Source organism: Homo sapiens, chromosome Y (genome assembly GCF_000001405.40).
Source record: "Homo sapiens chromosome Y, GRCh38.p14 Primary Assembly".
Lineage (NCBI taxonomy): Eukaryota > Metazoa > Chordata > Mammalia > Primates > Hominidae > Homo > Homo sapiens.
The window spans coordinates 2,973,959-2,991,587 of record NC_000024.10 but is presented as its reverse complement, the minus strand read 5'-3'; the positions used below and the strand labels follow the sequence as shown (position 1 = coordinate 2,991,587).

At 37.9% G+C, this 17,629-nt stretch overlaps 1 protein-coding gene and 1 long non-coding RNA gene across 15 annotated transcripts in view; one reads left to right on the top strand and one right to left on the bottom strand.

Moving 5' to 3' along the window:
• Nucleotides 1–17,629, top strand: part of ZFY-AS1 (ZFY antisense RNA 1) — a 35,808-nt gene that overhangs the window by 11,039 nt on the left and 7,140 nt on the right. Inside the window, exon 2 of the long non-coding RNA NR_144458.1 lies at nucleotides 9,661–9,750. This is a non-coding gene — a long non-coding RNA (ZFY antisense RNA 1). The remainder of the gene's footprint in view (nucleotides 1–9,660; nucleotides 9,751–17,629) is intronic.
• The window catches only part of ZFY (zinc finger protein Y-linked), a 47,126-nt gene continuing 38,578 nt past the window's right edge, over nucleotides 9,082–17,629 (bottom strand). For 8 of the 14 annotated variants that reach the window (NM_003411.4, NM_001369703.1, XM_017030075.2 and 5 more), the window contains 5 exons: nucleotides 16,344–16,493; nucleotides 15,934–16,077; nucleotides 14,766–14,918; nucleotides 13,508–13,648; nucleotides 9,082–12,778 (listed from right to left, as the gene is read on the bottom strand). In NM_003411.4, the coding sequence (NP_003402.2) occupies nucleotides 11,595–12,778; nucleotides 13,508–13,648; nucleotides 14,766–14,918; nucleotides 15,934–16,077; nucleotides 16,344–16,493 (1,772 nt within the window). In that variant the 3' untranslated portion in view covers nucleotides 9,082–11,594. The remainder of the gene's footprint in view (nucleotides 12,779–13,507; nucleotides 13,649–14,765; nucleotides 14,919–15,933; nucleotides 16,078–16,343; nucleotides 16,494–17,629) is intronic. The other 6 variants (NM_001369706.1, NM_001145275.2, NM_001369710.1 and 3 more) reach the window with 1 other exon arrangement.

Genomic DNA, 17,629 nt, shown 5'->3' with positions numbered 1-17,629 from the left:
CTAGTGGATGTAAGAAAGAGCTGGTACCATTCCTGCTGAAACTAGTCCCAAAAAATTGAGGAAGAGGGAATCCTCCCTAGCTCATTCTATGAAGCCATCATCATCCTGATACCAAAACCTGGCAGAGACACAACTAACAAAAAAAATTTCAGGCTAATATCCTTGATGAACGTCAATGGAAAAATCCTTAACAAAATACTGGCAAACTGAATCCAGCATTAGATAAAAAAGCTAATTAATCAACTATAATCAAGTAGAGTTTATCTTCTGGGATGCAAGTTTGGTTCAACAAATACAAATAAAAAAATGTAAATTATCCCATAAACAGAACTAGAGACCAAAACTACAAGATCATCTCAATAGATGCAGAAAAGGCTGCTATAAAATTCAACACTGCTTCACGATAAAAGCTCCTAATAAACTAGGTATTAAAGAAACACAACCCAAAATAACAAGAGCCATCTATGACTAACCCACAGCCAACGTCATACTGAATGGACAAAAGCTGAAGGCATTTCTCTTGAAAACTGGCACAAGACAAGGAGGCTCTCTCTCATCACTCTTATTCAACATAGTATTGGAAGTTCTGGCCAGGGCAGTCGGGCAAGAGAAAGAAATAAAGGGACTCCAGATAGAAAGAGAGGAAGTCAAACTATCCCTGTTTGCAGACAACATAATCCTAAATCTAGAAAACCTCATAGTCTTGGCCCAAAAGCTGATAAACAGCTTCAGCAAAATCTTAGGATACAGGGTCAACATATAGAAACTGCTAGCATTCCTATACACCAACAACAGTCAGGCCAACATCCAAATCAGGAACATGATTCCATTCACAACTGCCATGAAAAGAATGAAATACCTAGGAATACAGCTAATCATGGAGGTGAAAGATCTCTACAAGGATAACTACAAACCAGTGCTCAAAGAAATCAGAGATTACATAAATGGAAGAACAATCCATGCTCATGGATAAAGATGAATATTGTTAAAATGGCCATAATGTCCAAAGCAATTTATAGATTCAATGCTATTCCTATCAAACTACCAATGACATTCTTCACAGACTTGAAAAAAATATTTTAAAACTCATATGAAACCACAAGAGAGCCTGAATAGCCAAGGCAATCCTAAGCAAAAAGAACAAAGCTGGAGGCATCACATTACCTGACTTCAAACTATACTACAGGGCTACAGTAACTAAAACAGCATGGTAATTCTATAAAAACAGACACATAGATCAATGGAGCAGAACAGATATCCCAGAAATAAGGCCACACACCTACAACTATCTCATCTTCAACAAAGCTGACAAAAACAAGGAATGGGAAAAGTACTCCCTATTCAATAAATGGTGCTGGGACAACTGATTAGCCATACAGATGGAAACTCTTTCTTTACACCATACACAAAACTCAAGTCAAGATGAATTAAAGGTTTACATATAAAACCCAAAACTGTAAAAACCCTGGAAGACAGCCTAGGCAATACCATTCTGGACATAGGAATGGGCAAAGATTTCATGAAAAAGACATCAAAAGCAAATGCAGCAAAACCAAAAATTGACAAATGGGATCTAATTAAATAGTTTCTTCACGGCAAAAGAAACTGTCAATTAAGTAAACAGACAACCTACAGAATGGGAGAAAATTTTTGCAAACTATATATCTGACAAAGGTGTAATATCCAGCTCTATAAGGAACTTAAAACAAGAAAACAACCCTATTAAAAAGTAAGCAAAGGGTCGGGCGTGGTGGCTCATGCCTGTAATCCCAGCACTTTGGGAGGCTGAGGTGGGTGGATCATGAGGTCAGGAGATCAAAACCATCCTGACTAACATGGTGAAACCCCGTCTCTACTAAAAATACGAAAAAATTAGCCAGGCATGGTGACGGGCACCTGTAGTCCCAGCTACTCAGGAGGCTGAGGCAGGAGAATGGCGTGAACCCAGGAGGTGGAACTTGCAGTGAACTGAGATAGCGCTACTGCACTCCAGCCTGGGCGACAGAGCAAGACTCTGTCTCAAAAAAAAAATAAAATAAAATAAGCAAAGGACATGAACAGATGTTTTTCTAAAGAAGACATACATTCAGCCAACAAACATGTGAGAAAAAGCTCAACATCACTAATCATTAGAGAAATGCAAATCAAAACCACAGTGAGAAACCAGTCACACCAGTCAGAATGGCTATGATTAAGAAGTCAACAGATGTTGGGAAGGTTGTGGAGAAAATGACAGGCCCATACACTGTTGGTGTGAGTGTAAATTAAGTCAGCCATTGTGGAAAACAGTGTGGTGATTCCTCATAAAAGGAAAAGTAGAACTACCATTCAACCCAGCAATCTCATTACTGGGTATATACCCAAAGAATTATAAATCCTTCTATCATAAAGACACATGCATGTGTATGTTCATTGCAGCACTTTTCACAAGAGCAAACACATGGAATCAACCTAAATGTCCACCAATAGTAGACTGAATAAAGAAAATGTGGTACATATACACCATGGAATACTATGCAGCCATATAAAAAGAACAGGATCAGGCTGGCCTCAGTGGCTCATGCCTATAATCCCAGCACTTTGGGAGGCCAAGGTGGGTGGATCACAAGGTCAGGAGTTCAAGACCAGCCGGGACAACATGGTAAAACCCCGTCTCTACTAAAAATACAAAAATTAGCCAGGCATGATTGTATGCACCTGTAGTCCCAGCTACTTGGGAGACTGAGCCAGGAGAATCGCCTGAACCCAGGAGGCGGAGGTTGTGGTGAGCTGAGATGGTGCCACTGCACTCCAGCCTGGGCAACAGAGTGAGACTCTGTCTCAAAAAAAAAAAAAAAAAAAAAAAAGAACAGGATCATGGATGGAGCTGGAGGCCATCATACTTAGCTAACTAATATAGGAACAGAAAACTAAATACTGCATGTCCTCACTTATAAGTGGGAGCTAAATGATGAGAGCACATGGGCACATAGAGGAGAACAATACATACTGGGGCCTATCAGAGCGATGGAGGATGGGAGCGGGGAAAGGATCAGGAAAAACAAGTAATAGGTACTCAACTTAATGCCTGGGTGATGAAATAATCTGTACAACAAACCCCCCATGAAACAAGTGTACCTATGTGATAAACCTGCACATGAACTTAAAATAAAAATTAAAAGAAGATATAACAATTATAAATATATCTGCACTAAATATCAGAGCTCTTAACTATGTGATACAAATGTTGACAGAAATAAAAACAAGAAACAAAGACAATAATATAGGAGGCATCATTAGACCACTTTCAATAATGGGTAGAAAAATCAAATAGAAAATCAATGGGGAAACAGGACTGGTAAAATGCTGTACACCAATTGGACATACCAGATATATAGAGAACATGCCACACAACCACAGCAGAATATACAGTATTCTAAAGTGCACATTGAACATTCTCTAGAATAGACCATATATTTGGTCACAAAACAAGTTTAACAAATTTTAAAAGCAAATTATACAAAGTGTGTTTTCTGAGCACAATATGATGCACTAAAAATCAAGAGCAATGGGAAAACTGGAAAATTCACAAATGTGTGGAAACCAAGCAACAAACTGTTAACCAATGGAAAGCCTGGCACAATAGCACTCACTTGTAGTCCCAGCTACTTGGGAGGCTGAGTTGGAAGTAAGAGTTCTCAAGCCCTGGAGCTGAAGGCCAGCCTAGACAACAGAGCAAAAGCCAGTGTCAAAAACAAAACCACACAACCAATGAAGCTAAAGAAGTTACAAGAAAAATTACCTTGACACACACTAAAATGAAAGCACAATATCTGGGACACACAACATGAGATACAATCAAAGTAGTTGCAGAGAGGTAAATTTACAGCTGTAAATACATCTATCAGAAAAGAAGAAAGACCTCAAACCAACTACCTAACAATATCACATGTACTCCAAAATATGTACAAACAATATCACATGTACTCCAAAATATGTATAACTCTTATACATTATTTAAAAATAAGGGACTGGGTGCGATGGCTCATGCCTGTAATCTCAGCACTTTGGGAGGCCGAGGCAGGCGGATCATGAGGTCAGGAGATCGAGACAATCCTGGCTAACATGGTGAAACCCTGTCTCTACTAAAAATATTTTAAAAATACAAAAAAAAAAAAAAAATTAGCCAGCGTGGTGGCGGGCACCTGTAGTCCCCCTACTGGAGAGGTTTAGGCAGGAGAATGGTGTGAACTTAGGAGGCAGAGCTTGCAGTGAGCCAAGATCACACCACTGCACTCCAGCCTGGTTGACAGAGCGAGACTCCATTTAAAAAAAAAAAAAAAAGCTTAACCGTAGAAAAATCAACAAAACTGAATTCATTTTTTGAAAAGATGAATAACATTGGCAAATTTTGCCTACATTAAGAAAAAGACTCAAATAACTGAAGTTACAAATGAAAGAAGGGTAATTCAAGTGATGCCACAGAAATGAAAAGGAGTAAAGAGAATACAATGAATAGAAATTACACCAAGGAATTGGATAAATCAGAAGGAATAGGCTGGGTGTGGTGGCTCATGCCTGGAATCCCAGCACTTTGGGAGGCCAAAGCAGGTATCACCTGAGGTCAGTTTGAGACCAGCGTGGCCAACATGGTGAAACCCCATCTCTACTAAAAATACAAAAAAATTACTCAGGGGTGGTGACGCACACCTGTAATCCCAGTTACTCGGGAGGCTGAGGTAGAAGAATTGCTTGAGTCCCGGAGCCAGAGGTTGCAGTAAGCAGACATAGTGCCACTGTACTCCAGCCTGGGTGGCAGAGTGAGATTCTGTCTTTAAAAAAAAAAATACATTGCTAGAAACACACAACCTACCACGAGTAAATAGAAAGAAATAGAAAATCTGAACAAACCAGTAACTAGTAAGATTGAATCAGAAATAAAAATCTGAACAAAGAACAGCCCACAGTGAGATGGCTTCACTGGAGAATTCTATCAAACATTTAAAAATAATTTTATGCAGCCACAATAAAGAATGAAATCATGTCCTTGTGGCAACATGGTTGCAGCTAGAGGCCATTATCATAAGGAAACTAATGCAGAAACAGAAAACCAAATGTCACATGTTCCGACTTATAGTGGGAACTAAATCATAGGTTAATATGACCATAAAGATAGAAGCAACACATACTGAGGTCTCCAAAAGAAGGGAGTAAAGGAGTGGGGCAAGGGCTGAGAAACTTCCTATTGGGTACTATCTTCACTTTGTGGCTGATGGGATCAGTAGAAGCCCAAACCTCAACACTACACATACACCCTTATAGCAAACCTGTACAAATACACCTGAATCTAAGATAAAAATGAATTTTTTAAAAAATAAAAAGAAATTAACAATAATCCTAAAGGAGGAAGCACTCTGAAATTCATATAAAGATGCCAGTATTACATTGCTATCAAAACCAGATAAAGACATAAACAAGGCTAGGTATGGTGGCTTATGCCTATATTCTCAGCATCTTGGGAGATTAAGATGGGGATTGCTTGAGTCCAGAAGTTTGTGACAAGTCTGGGCAACTTAGGGAAACCCTGTCTCTACAAAAAAATTGTAAAAAGTTAGTTAGGCATGATAGTGAGCACTGGCAGTCCTAGCTATTCAGATGGCAGGATAGTTGAACCCAGGGGTTCAAGGTTACAGTCAGCTGCAATCACACCACTGCACTACAGCCTGGGCAACAGAGCAAGACCCTGTGTCCAAAAAAAAATTTTTTTTAAACACATAAAGACAAAAAGAAAATCACAGACCAGTATCACTAACAAAAATCTATGCAAAACTTCTCAGTAAAATACAAGCAGGTTGAATTTAACAGCACATTATAAGGATTATAGACTGGGCGTGGTGGCTCAAGCCTGTAATCCCAGCATTTTGGAGGCCAAGGTGGGTGGATCACTTCAGGTCAGGAGTTCGAGACCAGCCTGGCCAACGTGGTAAAACCCTGCCTCCACTAAAAACACAAAAATTAGCCACATGTGGTAGCCCAGGTGCAGTGGCATGCGCCAGTAATCCCAGCTACTTGAGAGGCTGAGTCAGGGGAATCACTTGACCTTGGGAGGTGGAGGTTGCAGTGAGCCAAGATCACACCATTGCACTCCAGCCTGGGCAGCAGAGCAAGACTCCATCTCCAAAAAATAAAAAAATAAACAATTACATAAGCCAGGTGCAGTGGCTCACACCTGTAATCCTAGCACTTTGGGAGGCCGAGGCAGATGGATCACCTGAAGTCAAGAGTTCAACGCCAGCCTGGACAACATAGTGAAACCTTATCTCTATTAAAAATACAAAAATTAGCTGGGAGTGGTAGCAGATGTCTGTAATCCCAGCTACTCGGGAGGCTGAGTAAGGCAGGACAATCTCTTCAACCCAGGAGGTGGAGGTTGCAGTGAGCTAAGATCACGCCATTGCACTCCAGCCTGGGCAACACAGAAAAAAATCAGTCTCAAAACAAAAACAAAAACAAAAACAATTATATACCATTACCAGTAAGATTTCACTGGATTTTAAGAATGGTTCAGCAAAACCTTTTAATACATCATGTTAACAAAAATAAAGGACAAAGGCTAATTTCAATTTACATAAAAAAAGCATGTGACAAGATTCCACACCTTTTCATTATAAAATACACTTAGGGAAGAAGGGAGAACCCTCAACATAATGATGGCAATTATTTTTATTTATTTATTTATTTATTTATTTTGAGATGGAGTCTTGCTCTGTCACCCAGGCTGGAGTGCAGCGGTGCGACCTCACCTTACTGCAAACCTCCTCCTCCCAGGTTCAAGTCATTCTCATGCTTCAGCCTCTTGAGCAGCTGGGATTTACAGACATGTGCCAGAACGCCCAGCTAATTTTTGTATTTTTAGTAGAGACATAGTTTCATTATGTTGGGCAGGCTAGTCTCAAATTCCTGACTTCAAGCCAACCACCTGTCTCAGCCTCTTAAGAGTGCTAGGATTATAGGTATGAGCCACCATGACTACCCGGGGCAATTTTACTTATTCTTGAGACGGAGTCTCCCTCTTTCACCCAGGCTGGAGGGAAGTGGCACAATCTTGGCTCACTGCAACCTCTGCTCCCTGGGTTCAAGCAATTCTTCTGCCTCGGCCTCCCGACTAGCTGGAGTTACAAGCACCTGCCACCACACCCAGTTGTTTTTGTATTTTTAGTAGAGACGGGTTTTCACCATGTTGGCCAGGCTGGTTTCGAACTGCTGACCTCAGGTGATCTACCCGCCTCAGCCTCCCAAAGTGCTGGGATTACAGGTGTGAGCCACCACTCCCAGCCAGCAATTATTTTTAAAAGCCCACAGGTAACACCTTATTTGATGGTGAAAGGCTGAAAACTTTTCTCTAAAATTAAGGAGGCAAGGCTGCTAAGTGAAATAAGCCAGTCACAAAAAAAATGCTGTATGATTCTAATAAAGTAGTCAAATTCATAGAAACATTACCAGGGCCTGGGCATCAGTGGAGAAAGGAAAGTTGTTTAACGGACGTTGAGTTTCAAATATGAAAGTTAAGAAACATTCACAACAATGTAAATATTCTTAGTACTACTAATCATATACACTTAAAATGGTTTAAATGGGAAATTGTATTTTTTTTTTTCACAATGAAACCAACTGACTGCTGGTGCCTATGCACAATTTTTTTATGTAGTAGGTCTAGGATGAGCCCAAGATTTTATATATCTAACAAGATTCAAGTAATGCTGATGCTGACCTGGCCCAGCCTCAAAAACCAGTGCTCCGAAATATCATACCTTTAAGATATTGGTCATAATGCTTAACGCTTTTCTTTACAAAAACCCTAGAATTCCTGAGAAGTTAAAAAATAATAAAAATTTAAAAAAAAATCAAATTGACATTGACATTGCCAGAAAACCAGTCAGTAAATTATCTTAGATGAAATCACAGGCCTGATTGGGTATGTTTATTTAGATTTTCTAAGACAACTAAGTTATTCATGATCTTATCTGGCTTACAACTCTGGCCAGTGACATTCACCATATTTTTTTAACATTTTAATGGCTTTAATTATTTACTGTTTGAACAATTAGACAAACACATTCCTAGAGTTGAAGAACTGCAGAATCTTTACAAAAGGTGTTTTGCAACTAAAGAGAGGTGATGGAAATGTAACATATGAATGTGCTAAATGCCACTTAACACATTTTAAGATAGTGACTTTTATCATGTGAATTTTACCTCTACAAAAATTTATGAGTCTCAGTCTTCTTTGTTGTAATCTGTTTGACTCCTGGTTAACTTCTACCAAGCTTCTAATTTTTGTCATAATACCCATCCCACAGTATTATGTGTGCACTAAAGATCTCCAAACTGAATACAAAGAGGTGACACACAAATGTGTAACTAGTGCAGGTTCTTCTGCTATGGACTTAGTGCCCTCAAAAACCACTTAAGGGCTGGTGCAGTGGTTTATGCCTGTAATAGCACCATTTTGGGACACTGAGGCGGGAGGACTCCTTGAGCCCAGGGGTTTGAGACCACCCTGCGCAACATGATGAGACCCAACCCCATCTCTATAAAAAATAAAAAATTAGCCAGGCATGACAGTACATGCCCATAGTCCCAACTACTGCGTAGGCTGAGGCAGGAGGATCGCTTGAGCCCAGGAGTTGAAGGCTGCAGTGAGCTGAGATCACACACCACTGTACTTGAGCCTGGGCAAATGAGTGAGACTTTGTTGTTAAAACAAAAACAAAAACCAAAAAAAAAAAAAGAAAAAAAAGCTTTATGCAAGGAAAATTTATTTCAGCAAGTGCAGATGCTAACCAAACCATCTTTCATTAAGATAAAACAAAAAATTGACTTTCAAGAACACATTAAGCAAAGGCCTCATCAACTAGCGCAAGTACTCTGAAATACTACTTGTAAATTCATAAGGTTACCAATATTTACATAAAAAGCATTTTGTATTCCACTGATGTACAGAATGAACTAAGTGGGGAAATAAAAATAGTCCACTATGTTTTATGTTTATTAAGACTTAAAACTGCGTGTTTTAAAGAAAGAGTTAACTTAGTATTGGTATCATATACAAGTAAACATTTATTAACAGTAAAATATTATTTTTATTTTTGCATATTCTCAAATACACATTTACAATAGTATCACACTTCCTATATGAATTCTTCATAGTTATTTTAAGTATTTTACAATTTGTACAGAGGAAGGGACATACAATATCTAATAGGCTATTTTTCAACCAAATAATAATTTATGTCCTTGTAAGATTTTGTACCTCTTTAAAACTTTCAACTTCAACATCCACTTTTTTAGCTTTGCTAATCAAATTAAGAATTAAAACCAGCCTGCAAATAATAACAGTATATAACATTAAGCACAATTTCATTTCTTTCTTTATACAAATGTTCTATATTTACTTGACCAAATGCTTAATTACCTTTTAAAGGTTTCAATACCGTGGTTAAAAACAAAACAACTGTGTATACCTCCAGACTATATGAAAAATATGAAATATGTAAAGTGTCACGTTTTTTACCTTAGTTTATTTTTAAAAGATAAATAGCTAACTATCTGTATTAATTTTAAAGAATGTTTTAAAACTCTTAAACTTTCACTTAAATACTTCCTTTTATATTACTTCAGGGAGAAAACAAATTGGAAGGAGATTTAAAGGATTCTCAAATACAAACTGAAGTTTTCAAGAACAGGATCATGAAGGACAGTAAAAATCAGGTAGGGACATGTATAAAGGCTAAGAAGGCCTAACAGATTCTTAAAATCCATTACATGGTTTTGGATGGTACTAGGTTTAAATTCATATATGACTAAAGCACTTTAGAACTAGATCAAATTAATCTAACATTTCAGAGGCTGCCAATCACCAAATATAAATTTATATTTCCTAATCCTATAACTTTTGAATTGGTGGCACAGAAAAAGGTGAAAATAAAAACCTGACAGCAAAAGTTGAATGAAGCACTACCATACTAAAGCTAGAAGGTAGCTGTAATGTGGGTTAAAAAAAATTCGAATCCCCTAAAATATTCCAAATACACAGGTACCAACAGCCAAATTAAGGAACCTAAAAATGTATTTTCCATTCTCCAAATTCTTATTAACCAAATTCTTTTTAATTATATGAATTCATTTTATATTATATCCATACATATAAATTATTAACTGCTTAATAACATTAACTTATTAACTCTCAAATAAATAATAAAATTTGGAAAGTGATATATATTCCAAATAAGGCCATGGATTTTCATTATGTACTTTTATCTTCTAATCAAAATCAACTTGACTGTTGTCTTTTTAAAACTTTACTCAATGTAAAATAGAAAGCAGGATGAAGTTGCTAATTTGGAATTAGCTCTCATTCTGTTACATGGTACCATCATTTTCCCTTAGTCCTCCTTACTTTGCAAAGAGACAGCGTTCCTTCACAGGATTCTCAGAAAAATACTATGAAATCTATGTCTGAAATAGCTTTCCAGAAAAATTTATGATATGAAGCTGAAATTGTATGAAAACATTCTATCTAGAAACATCTTACCTTCCATTTTTATCTATCAAAGATTATTTGAAGAGAAGATTTTCACTCTCCTAATGTCCTTTTCTTTTTAATTATTCACCTCAAATTTAGTAACTGAATAACAAGTTACAAAATGCTCTCATACATCTCTGGATCTTTCAGGTTATTGTAAATTTTCATCATAAGTTTAAAATTTGTGGTTGTGTGTGTAAATATGTAATAAGCAACAAAGATGCATATACAAGATTTAGAGTTACACACCAAGTTTCAAAAAATCCTGAGTCCACAATTTACCTCTAAAAGACTCCAAAATTCAGTGAGCAGTAAGTCTCATGTGTTGGAACACAATGCAAGACAAAGCAGTACAAAGAGAAAACAGAAGATAAAAATAAGTAAAACTATTACTTTCTAAAAGTTTGCTGTGCTGACAAAAGATGTAAACACTATTAATGAAAGTTAAGGGAAGTACATTTTGTCTGCTGAACAAAATGAAATTTAAACATAAACGTGGTCAATATCCTATATTAATCAATGCTAGAAGCTCAAATGTAAAATTTTATCATGTAATCTGAAAATACTGACAAAAAAATTATTACCACGTTTTGCTAATTGGACTTGACAGTAAAACCTCCCATTTATATTAGCAGATGTCTCCAATGTGAAACACTTGTGTAGGAGGAAATGGGTCAAAAATGTTACTTTCATAGTTATCAATCTGATTTTGTCTTAGAAGAGTACCATGAACATGAATAAATATGTAAATAAATAGTAAAGCTTTTATGACTGAAAATTCAGTATAGAATCACAAATTATTTTATTATAAGCAACTTGCTTGTTGCTATTTTTCCTCATCTATTAAAGAAACTGAATAGGATTCAGGACAGCGTATTGAATAAAATGTAAAGAAAAGTGGACTAGAAGCAATAATTCTATTTTTACACAGCATAATTCAATGTATAGTAATGGATGTGAACAAGACTGGCTTTAAAAAATGAATTTTCTGCTTCAAGGCCAACATCTTTACAAGCTTGTAGACACACTGTTAGGGCAGACCAACTTCTTTATGGTGTCTCATTATGTGCTGGTTCTTTTCTGAAGGTCTTCGGAAGCCTTTCTTGCAGTACTCACACCGATGAGGATAGTCTTTTGTATGAATGGAAATAACGTGCCGTTTAAAGCCTGAGGCATCTGTAGTGCTATACTCACAGTACTCACACTGATATACTTTCCTGCCACTGTGTGTCTTCATATGCTTTTTAAGCTCATTTTGTTGCCTAAATCCCTTTCTACATCTCTTACACCTAAATGGAAGATCCTTTGTGTGAACTGAGAGAATATGGCGACTTAGAACAAATGGGTCTGCAATCTTAAAGTCACAATGTCTACATTGGTGCATTTTTTTACCTTTGTGGACAGCCACATGTTTCTTAAGTTCTGAAGGCCTGTGAAAGCCTTTCTCGCACATCTCACACTTATGAGGATAGTCTTTCGTATGAACTGAAATTACATGTCGTTTCAAATCACTTGAGTTTGAACTCTTGTGGTCGCAATGCAAACACTGATGTGTTTTGCTTTCTTGGTGGACAAGAGTATGTTGCTGCACTTCTTTGGTATCTGAGAAAGTCAGAAGACAAATGTCACACTTGAATGGCATCTCTTTACTATGCTTTGTTTTTATATGTGTTTTCAAGTTAGAAGAGTCTGCAGACCTATATTCACAGTACTGGCATTGGTATGGCTTCTCGCCGGTATGGATTCGCATGTGCTTTCTCAGTTCCGACGGGTGTCGGAAACCTTTACCACACTCCACACAAATATGAGGAAAGTTCTTGCTGTGGACTGCCAAGAGGTGGCGATTCAATAACCCCTGTTCAGCTGTCTCATATTCACAGAATTTACACTTGTGCATTTTGTTGGCCCCTTTTTCCTTATGCACCATTTTGTGAGTAAACAAAGCCCCTGCATGAGAAAAATGCTTCCCACACTCATCACATTCAATGGCCTTCTCTGCCTTGCTGGTCAGCTTGTGGCTCTCCAGGTGGTTATGTAAACTTATCTTCTTATTGGTAGTGTAATCACAGTCAGTACAGTGGTACTTCTTCTTGGCAAGGTGTTCAGGATGGTTTTTCATGTGTCTTTTCAAAAAACCCCTCGACTTAAACTTCTTCCCACAAATCATGCAAGGATAGACAGTCAAAGGATGACCATCAGGGCCAATAATTATTGCTAAGAAAGGAAAAGAAAGCAGTATGAGTGCTTAATCAAACTTCTGGTCTCCTCATGAATTTTTTAAAGCTTGTGTTCTGAACATTAGTGGGCAAATACTTTTAAATTATTAACATTCCTTTTACTGCTTTTCAATGTTAAGAGTTATAATAATGTCCTAATCGAGAGAACTGGTTTGGTTAAGTATGAACCAATCTCACCCCCTCCAGTTAAAAAAAAAAAATCAATCAAGCAGTGACAAAAGAACATGAATTTAGAAATGTGTAGCAAATAACTCATAAAAATCAAGTCCAGCATTTCTGCTTTGGTGACTGACTCCAAGCCAAATATATGCAAACAGTAAAGCTTAACTGCACCTATAAATAAATTTTAATATGCAAAGCAGCATTCAAAACAACATAGGATAGTAATCAGTCCTACAAATAACCTAGGTACTTCTTCCACTTCTCGGTAAATTATACCTGCTTTATGCTAGTATAAGTAGATCCATGTAATTTCGTTCACTTAAAGTTAGGTAACATTTTAGAAATTTATTTTCCTTTTCACTAAAATCACCAGAGGATTTTAATTCTTTTTCCTGAATGGTTGATGCACAACTGTTTCTTCTTATCCAAGAAAACCATTCATGAATATCACTGAATTTTGAAATTTTTTCTTTCAAATTCAACACATAAAAATACATGTGGCCTACTAGCTAAAACTCCATCATAACACCCCTGTGGAACTCACCTGTTTGGTACTGCCTGGAATCAGGTCTTCTCTTTTTCTTTGGTTTCTGTTTAGCCAGTCTGCCAAGGCCAGCAGACTCATCTATGTGCAAGAGGGCACTTGCAGTGCCATTCCGGTTTTCAATTCCATCAGAATTATTACCTAACAATGTGCATTAAAACACAGAATTACACAACATTATAAATTCTAAAGAATTACGAATTCTTTATTAACAACAAGAAGTCCTGACACTCATGAATGACAGAAAGTCCTTACTTTATTTATTTTTATTCTTTTTTTTTTTTTTTTTTTTTTTTTTTTGAGACAGAGTCTTGCTCTGTCACCCAGGCTGGAGTACAGAGGTGTAATCTTGGCTCACTGCAACCTCCTCCTCTCAGGTTCAAGTGATTATCCTGCCTCAGCATCCTGAATAGCTGGGATTACAGGAACAACGCCATCACACCCATCTCATTTTTTTGTATTTTTAGTAGAGAGGAGGTTTCACCATATTGGCCAGGCTGATCTTGAACTCCTGACCTCAGGTCATCCACCTGCCTCAGACTCCCAAAGTGCTGGGATTACAGGCAAGAGCCACACCTGGCCCCCAATTGTAGACCATGTGTTTTATGGGCATATATATGGCAAGACCAGGGGAAGTGCCTAGCTTCCGTATCTAGCAGCATGCTGCTCTACTGGACTCCCTGCTATCTCCCAAAAATTGTAAAGTTATGTGTCACCTATAAACCAAGATTTAAAATGTTAGACTGAAAGCTCCCACACTTCTTACATAATAAAAGAAGTTCATGTTAAAATTAAAGGCAACAGGGAGACTATTTAATCCTCCTCTACTTTTGCTTAAATCATGAAACCCTAAAAAAAACCCTTTTTTTTTTTTTTTTTTTTTTTTTTTTTTTTTTTTTTGAGATGGAGTCTTGCTCTGCTGCCCAGGCTGGAGTGCAGTGGCGCAATCTCAGCTCACTGCAAGCTCCACCTCCCAGGTTCACGCCATTCTCCTGCCTCAGCCTCCTCAGTAGCTGGGATTACAGGTGCCTGCCACCACGTCTGGCTAATTTTTTAAAAATATTTTTTAGTAGAGACAGGGTTTCACCATGTTAGCCAGGATGGTCTCAATCTCCTGACCTCGTGATCCGCCTGCCTCAGCCTCCCAAAGTGCTGGGATTACAGACATGAGCCACCACGCCTGGCCAACAGAAACCACTTTCAACAGTGAATTAATGTTCAAAAACTACTCAATCCTTCTGGCTTCTATGTAAGTTACCATAAGCTGCTGCCCATGCAATTGGTACGAAGGTTTTCATTTCATCCTCATCAATTTGCTGCTCATGCACAGCAGCTGCTGCTGCTGCAACAGCAGCATCCTCCTCTCCTACGATCACTTCCATATAAACTTCATCAGCAATTTCAGCAACATCTAAGCACAAAATAAATAAAAAATTTTTTGTGACTAGGTTTACAGAGATCACACAGAAAAAATTCATTAGTAGGAAAAAATAAACATTGGTTGAATTATTCGTTTCTTGGCTTTCACCATAATTAGTTTATAAAGCAACTATCAAAACATACATAGTCACTGATATCTATTCTTGGAATACGGCAACACAGTAATCTCTACAACAGCGCTGCTTATTTTTTTTCAAATATTGGTTACATTAAAAAAAAAGACGACAGCTTGGGCAGGGCACAGTGGCTCACGCCTGTAATCCCAGCACTTTGGGAGACCAAGGTGGGCGGATCACGAGGTCAAGAGATCGAGACCATCCTGGCCAACATGGTGAAACCCTCATCTCTACTAAAAATACAAAAATTAGCTGGGTGTGGTGGCACGTGCCTGTAGTCTCAGCTACTTGGGAGGCTGAGGCAGGAGAACTGCTTGAACCCAGGAGGTGGAAGCTGCAGTGAGCGGAGATTGCTCCACTGCACTCCATCCAGCCTGGCAACAGAATAAGACTCTGTCTCAAAAAAAAAAAAAAAACACACCTTGTAGAAACATAAAACCCTCTCCCACAAAAAAAGCCACATACTGGCACATATACATCATGGAATACTATGCAGCCATAAAAAAGAATAAGCTCATGTCCTTTGCAGGGACATGGATGAAGCTGGAAACCATCATCCTCAGCAAACTAACACAAGAACAGAAAACCAAACGTCACATGTTCTCACTCGTAAGTGGGAGCTGAACAATGAGGACACATGGACACACGGAGGGGAACATCACACACTGGGGCCCACTGTGGGGTGGGGTGCAAGGGGAGAGAGAGCATTAGGACAAATACCTAATGGATGGGGGGCTTAAAAGCCTAGATGATGGGTTGATAGGTGCAGCAAACCACCATGGCACATGTATATCTATGTAACAAATCTGCACATTCAGCACATGTACCCCAGAACTTAAAGTAAAAATTTTTTTTTAAAAAGCCACATACTTAAATCTTCATCTTCTTGTTGAGAGTCATTGACAGTCATATAAACCATCTTTTCCCTGGGAACACGAATACTGCTGTTCTGATCAAGTAGTTCAACTCCATGATCATTTTCAGGTTCACTCTCCACAATGTCTACAGTTCCACCTATCAGAGAATATGAAAGCTCCAAAAATTATTTGAGAGTTCATTTTCACATATTTTGCTTACACGTTTTAGTGTATTTTTATATTACTAACTCAAAAATATGTCTTAAAAGTTGTCTTTGGAAAAGAGTTCAAATTTTCCAATCTAAATAACCTAAACTAAATGTTAAGTATCAATGAAAAAAAGTAACCTGTTTACTTTTTTTGACACCATTTGGTTGAAACATTTGGATGACAATGTATAAAATGCTGACAGCTTCCTCTTACCTAAGTCATCTTCTCCAGGGTCAGCTTTAAAAATGTACACCTTGATGACTTCAGGACAAGTGCTATCCACTTTACAAGGATCCATTTCTGATTCTGCATCGATGGTCACTCCAGTGGAACCATCATGTTCTATTTTGCCAGCATCATCCACTGAAAAGGCAGAAAATATATCATCAACCATAACAGCAGATTCTTTAAAACTTAAGAAAACTAATGAAAGGACATATGTCATCTTTGTTTATCATAAAGTAAAAGCATACAATATTACAAGTATTCTGTTTTATTTTTTGAGATGGGGTCTTTTCTTTTTCTGTCATTCAGGCTAGAGTACAGTGGCACAATTATAGTTCACTGCACCTTTGACCTCCAGAACTCAAACAATCCTCCTGTCTCAGCCTACTTGAGTAGCTGGGACAAAAGGCGTATGCCACCATGCTCAGCTAATTTTTTTATTTCTTTGTACAGACAAGGTCTCACTGGTTTTCTCTAGCTTATCTCCAACTCTTGGGCTCAAGCAATCCTCCCACCTCAGCCTCACAAAATGCTGGGATTACAAGCTTGAGCCACTGCATCCAGCTTACCAATGTTCTTGAAGATCTGAAAAATAATGTCCTACTAGTAAATTCAGTACACACTAGTCCTAATATATTTTATGAGCATTACCTAACATTCAGTACTTCTGAATACAATTGTCTTATCTGTTCTATGAGAATCATAAACTTTTTAAAAATCAAAATATGGTTGTCAGAAACATAAATTCTGGCTGGCCATGGTGGCACATGTCTGTAATCCCAGCACTTTGGGAGGCCGATGCAGCGGATCACCTGAGGTCAGGAGTTTGAGACCAGCCTGGCCAACATAGTGAAACCTCTGTCTCCACTAAAAATGCAAAAAAATGAGTTGGGCATGGTGGCAGGAGCCTGTAGTACCAGCTACTCAGGAGGCTGAGGCAGGAAAATCACTTGAACCCGGGAGGCAGAGGTTGCAGTGAGTCAAGATTGCACCACTGTACTCCAGTCTGGATGACAGAGTGAAACTGTCTCAATAAATAAATAAATAAATAAATAAATAAATAAATAGTTGTAAATTCTGATATTAACCTGTTCAAACCTAACACTACACACACATGCATTTTTAAAAAAAACCACACACACAAAACATATATATGAGTTCTAATGAGTCTGGGTCTACTGCTGGCAAATACAGTAAGATGTATACTTAAGTATCTTCTTAAATACTTAAGGCAGCCTGTTTCATGTTTATGTATTAAAAAAAAAAAAAAGAAT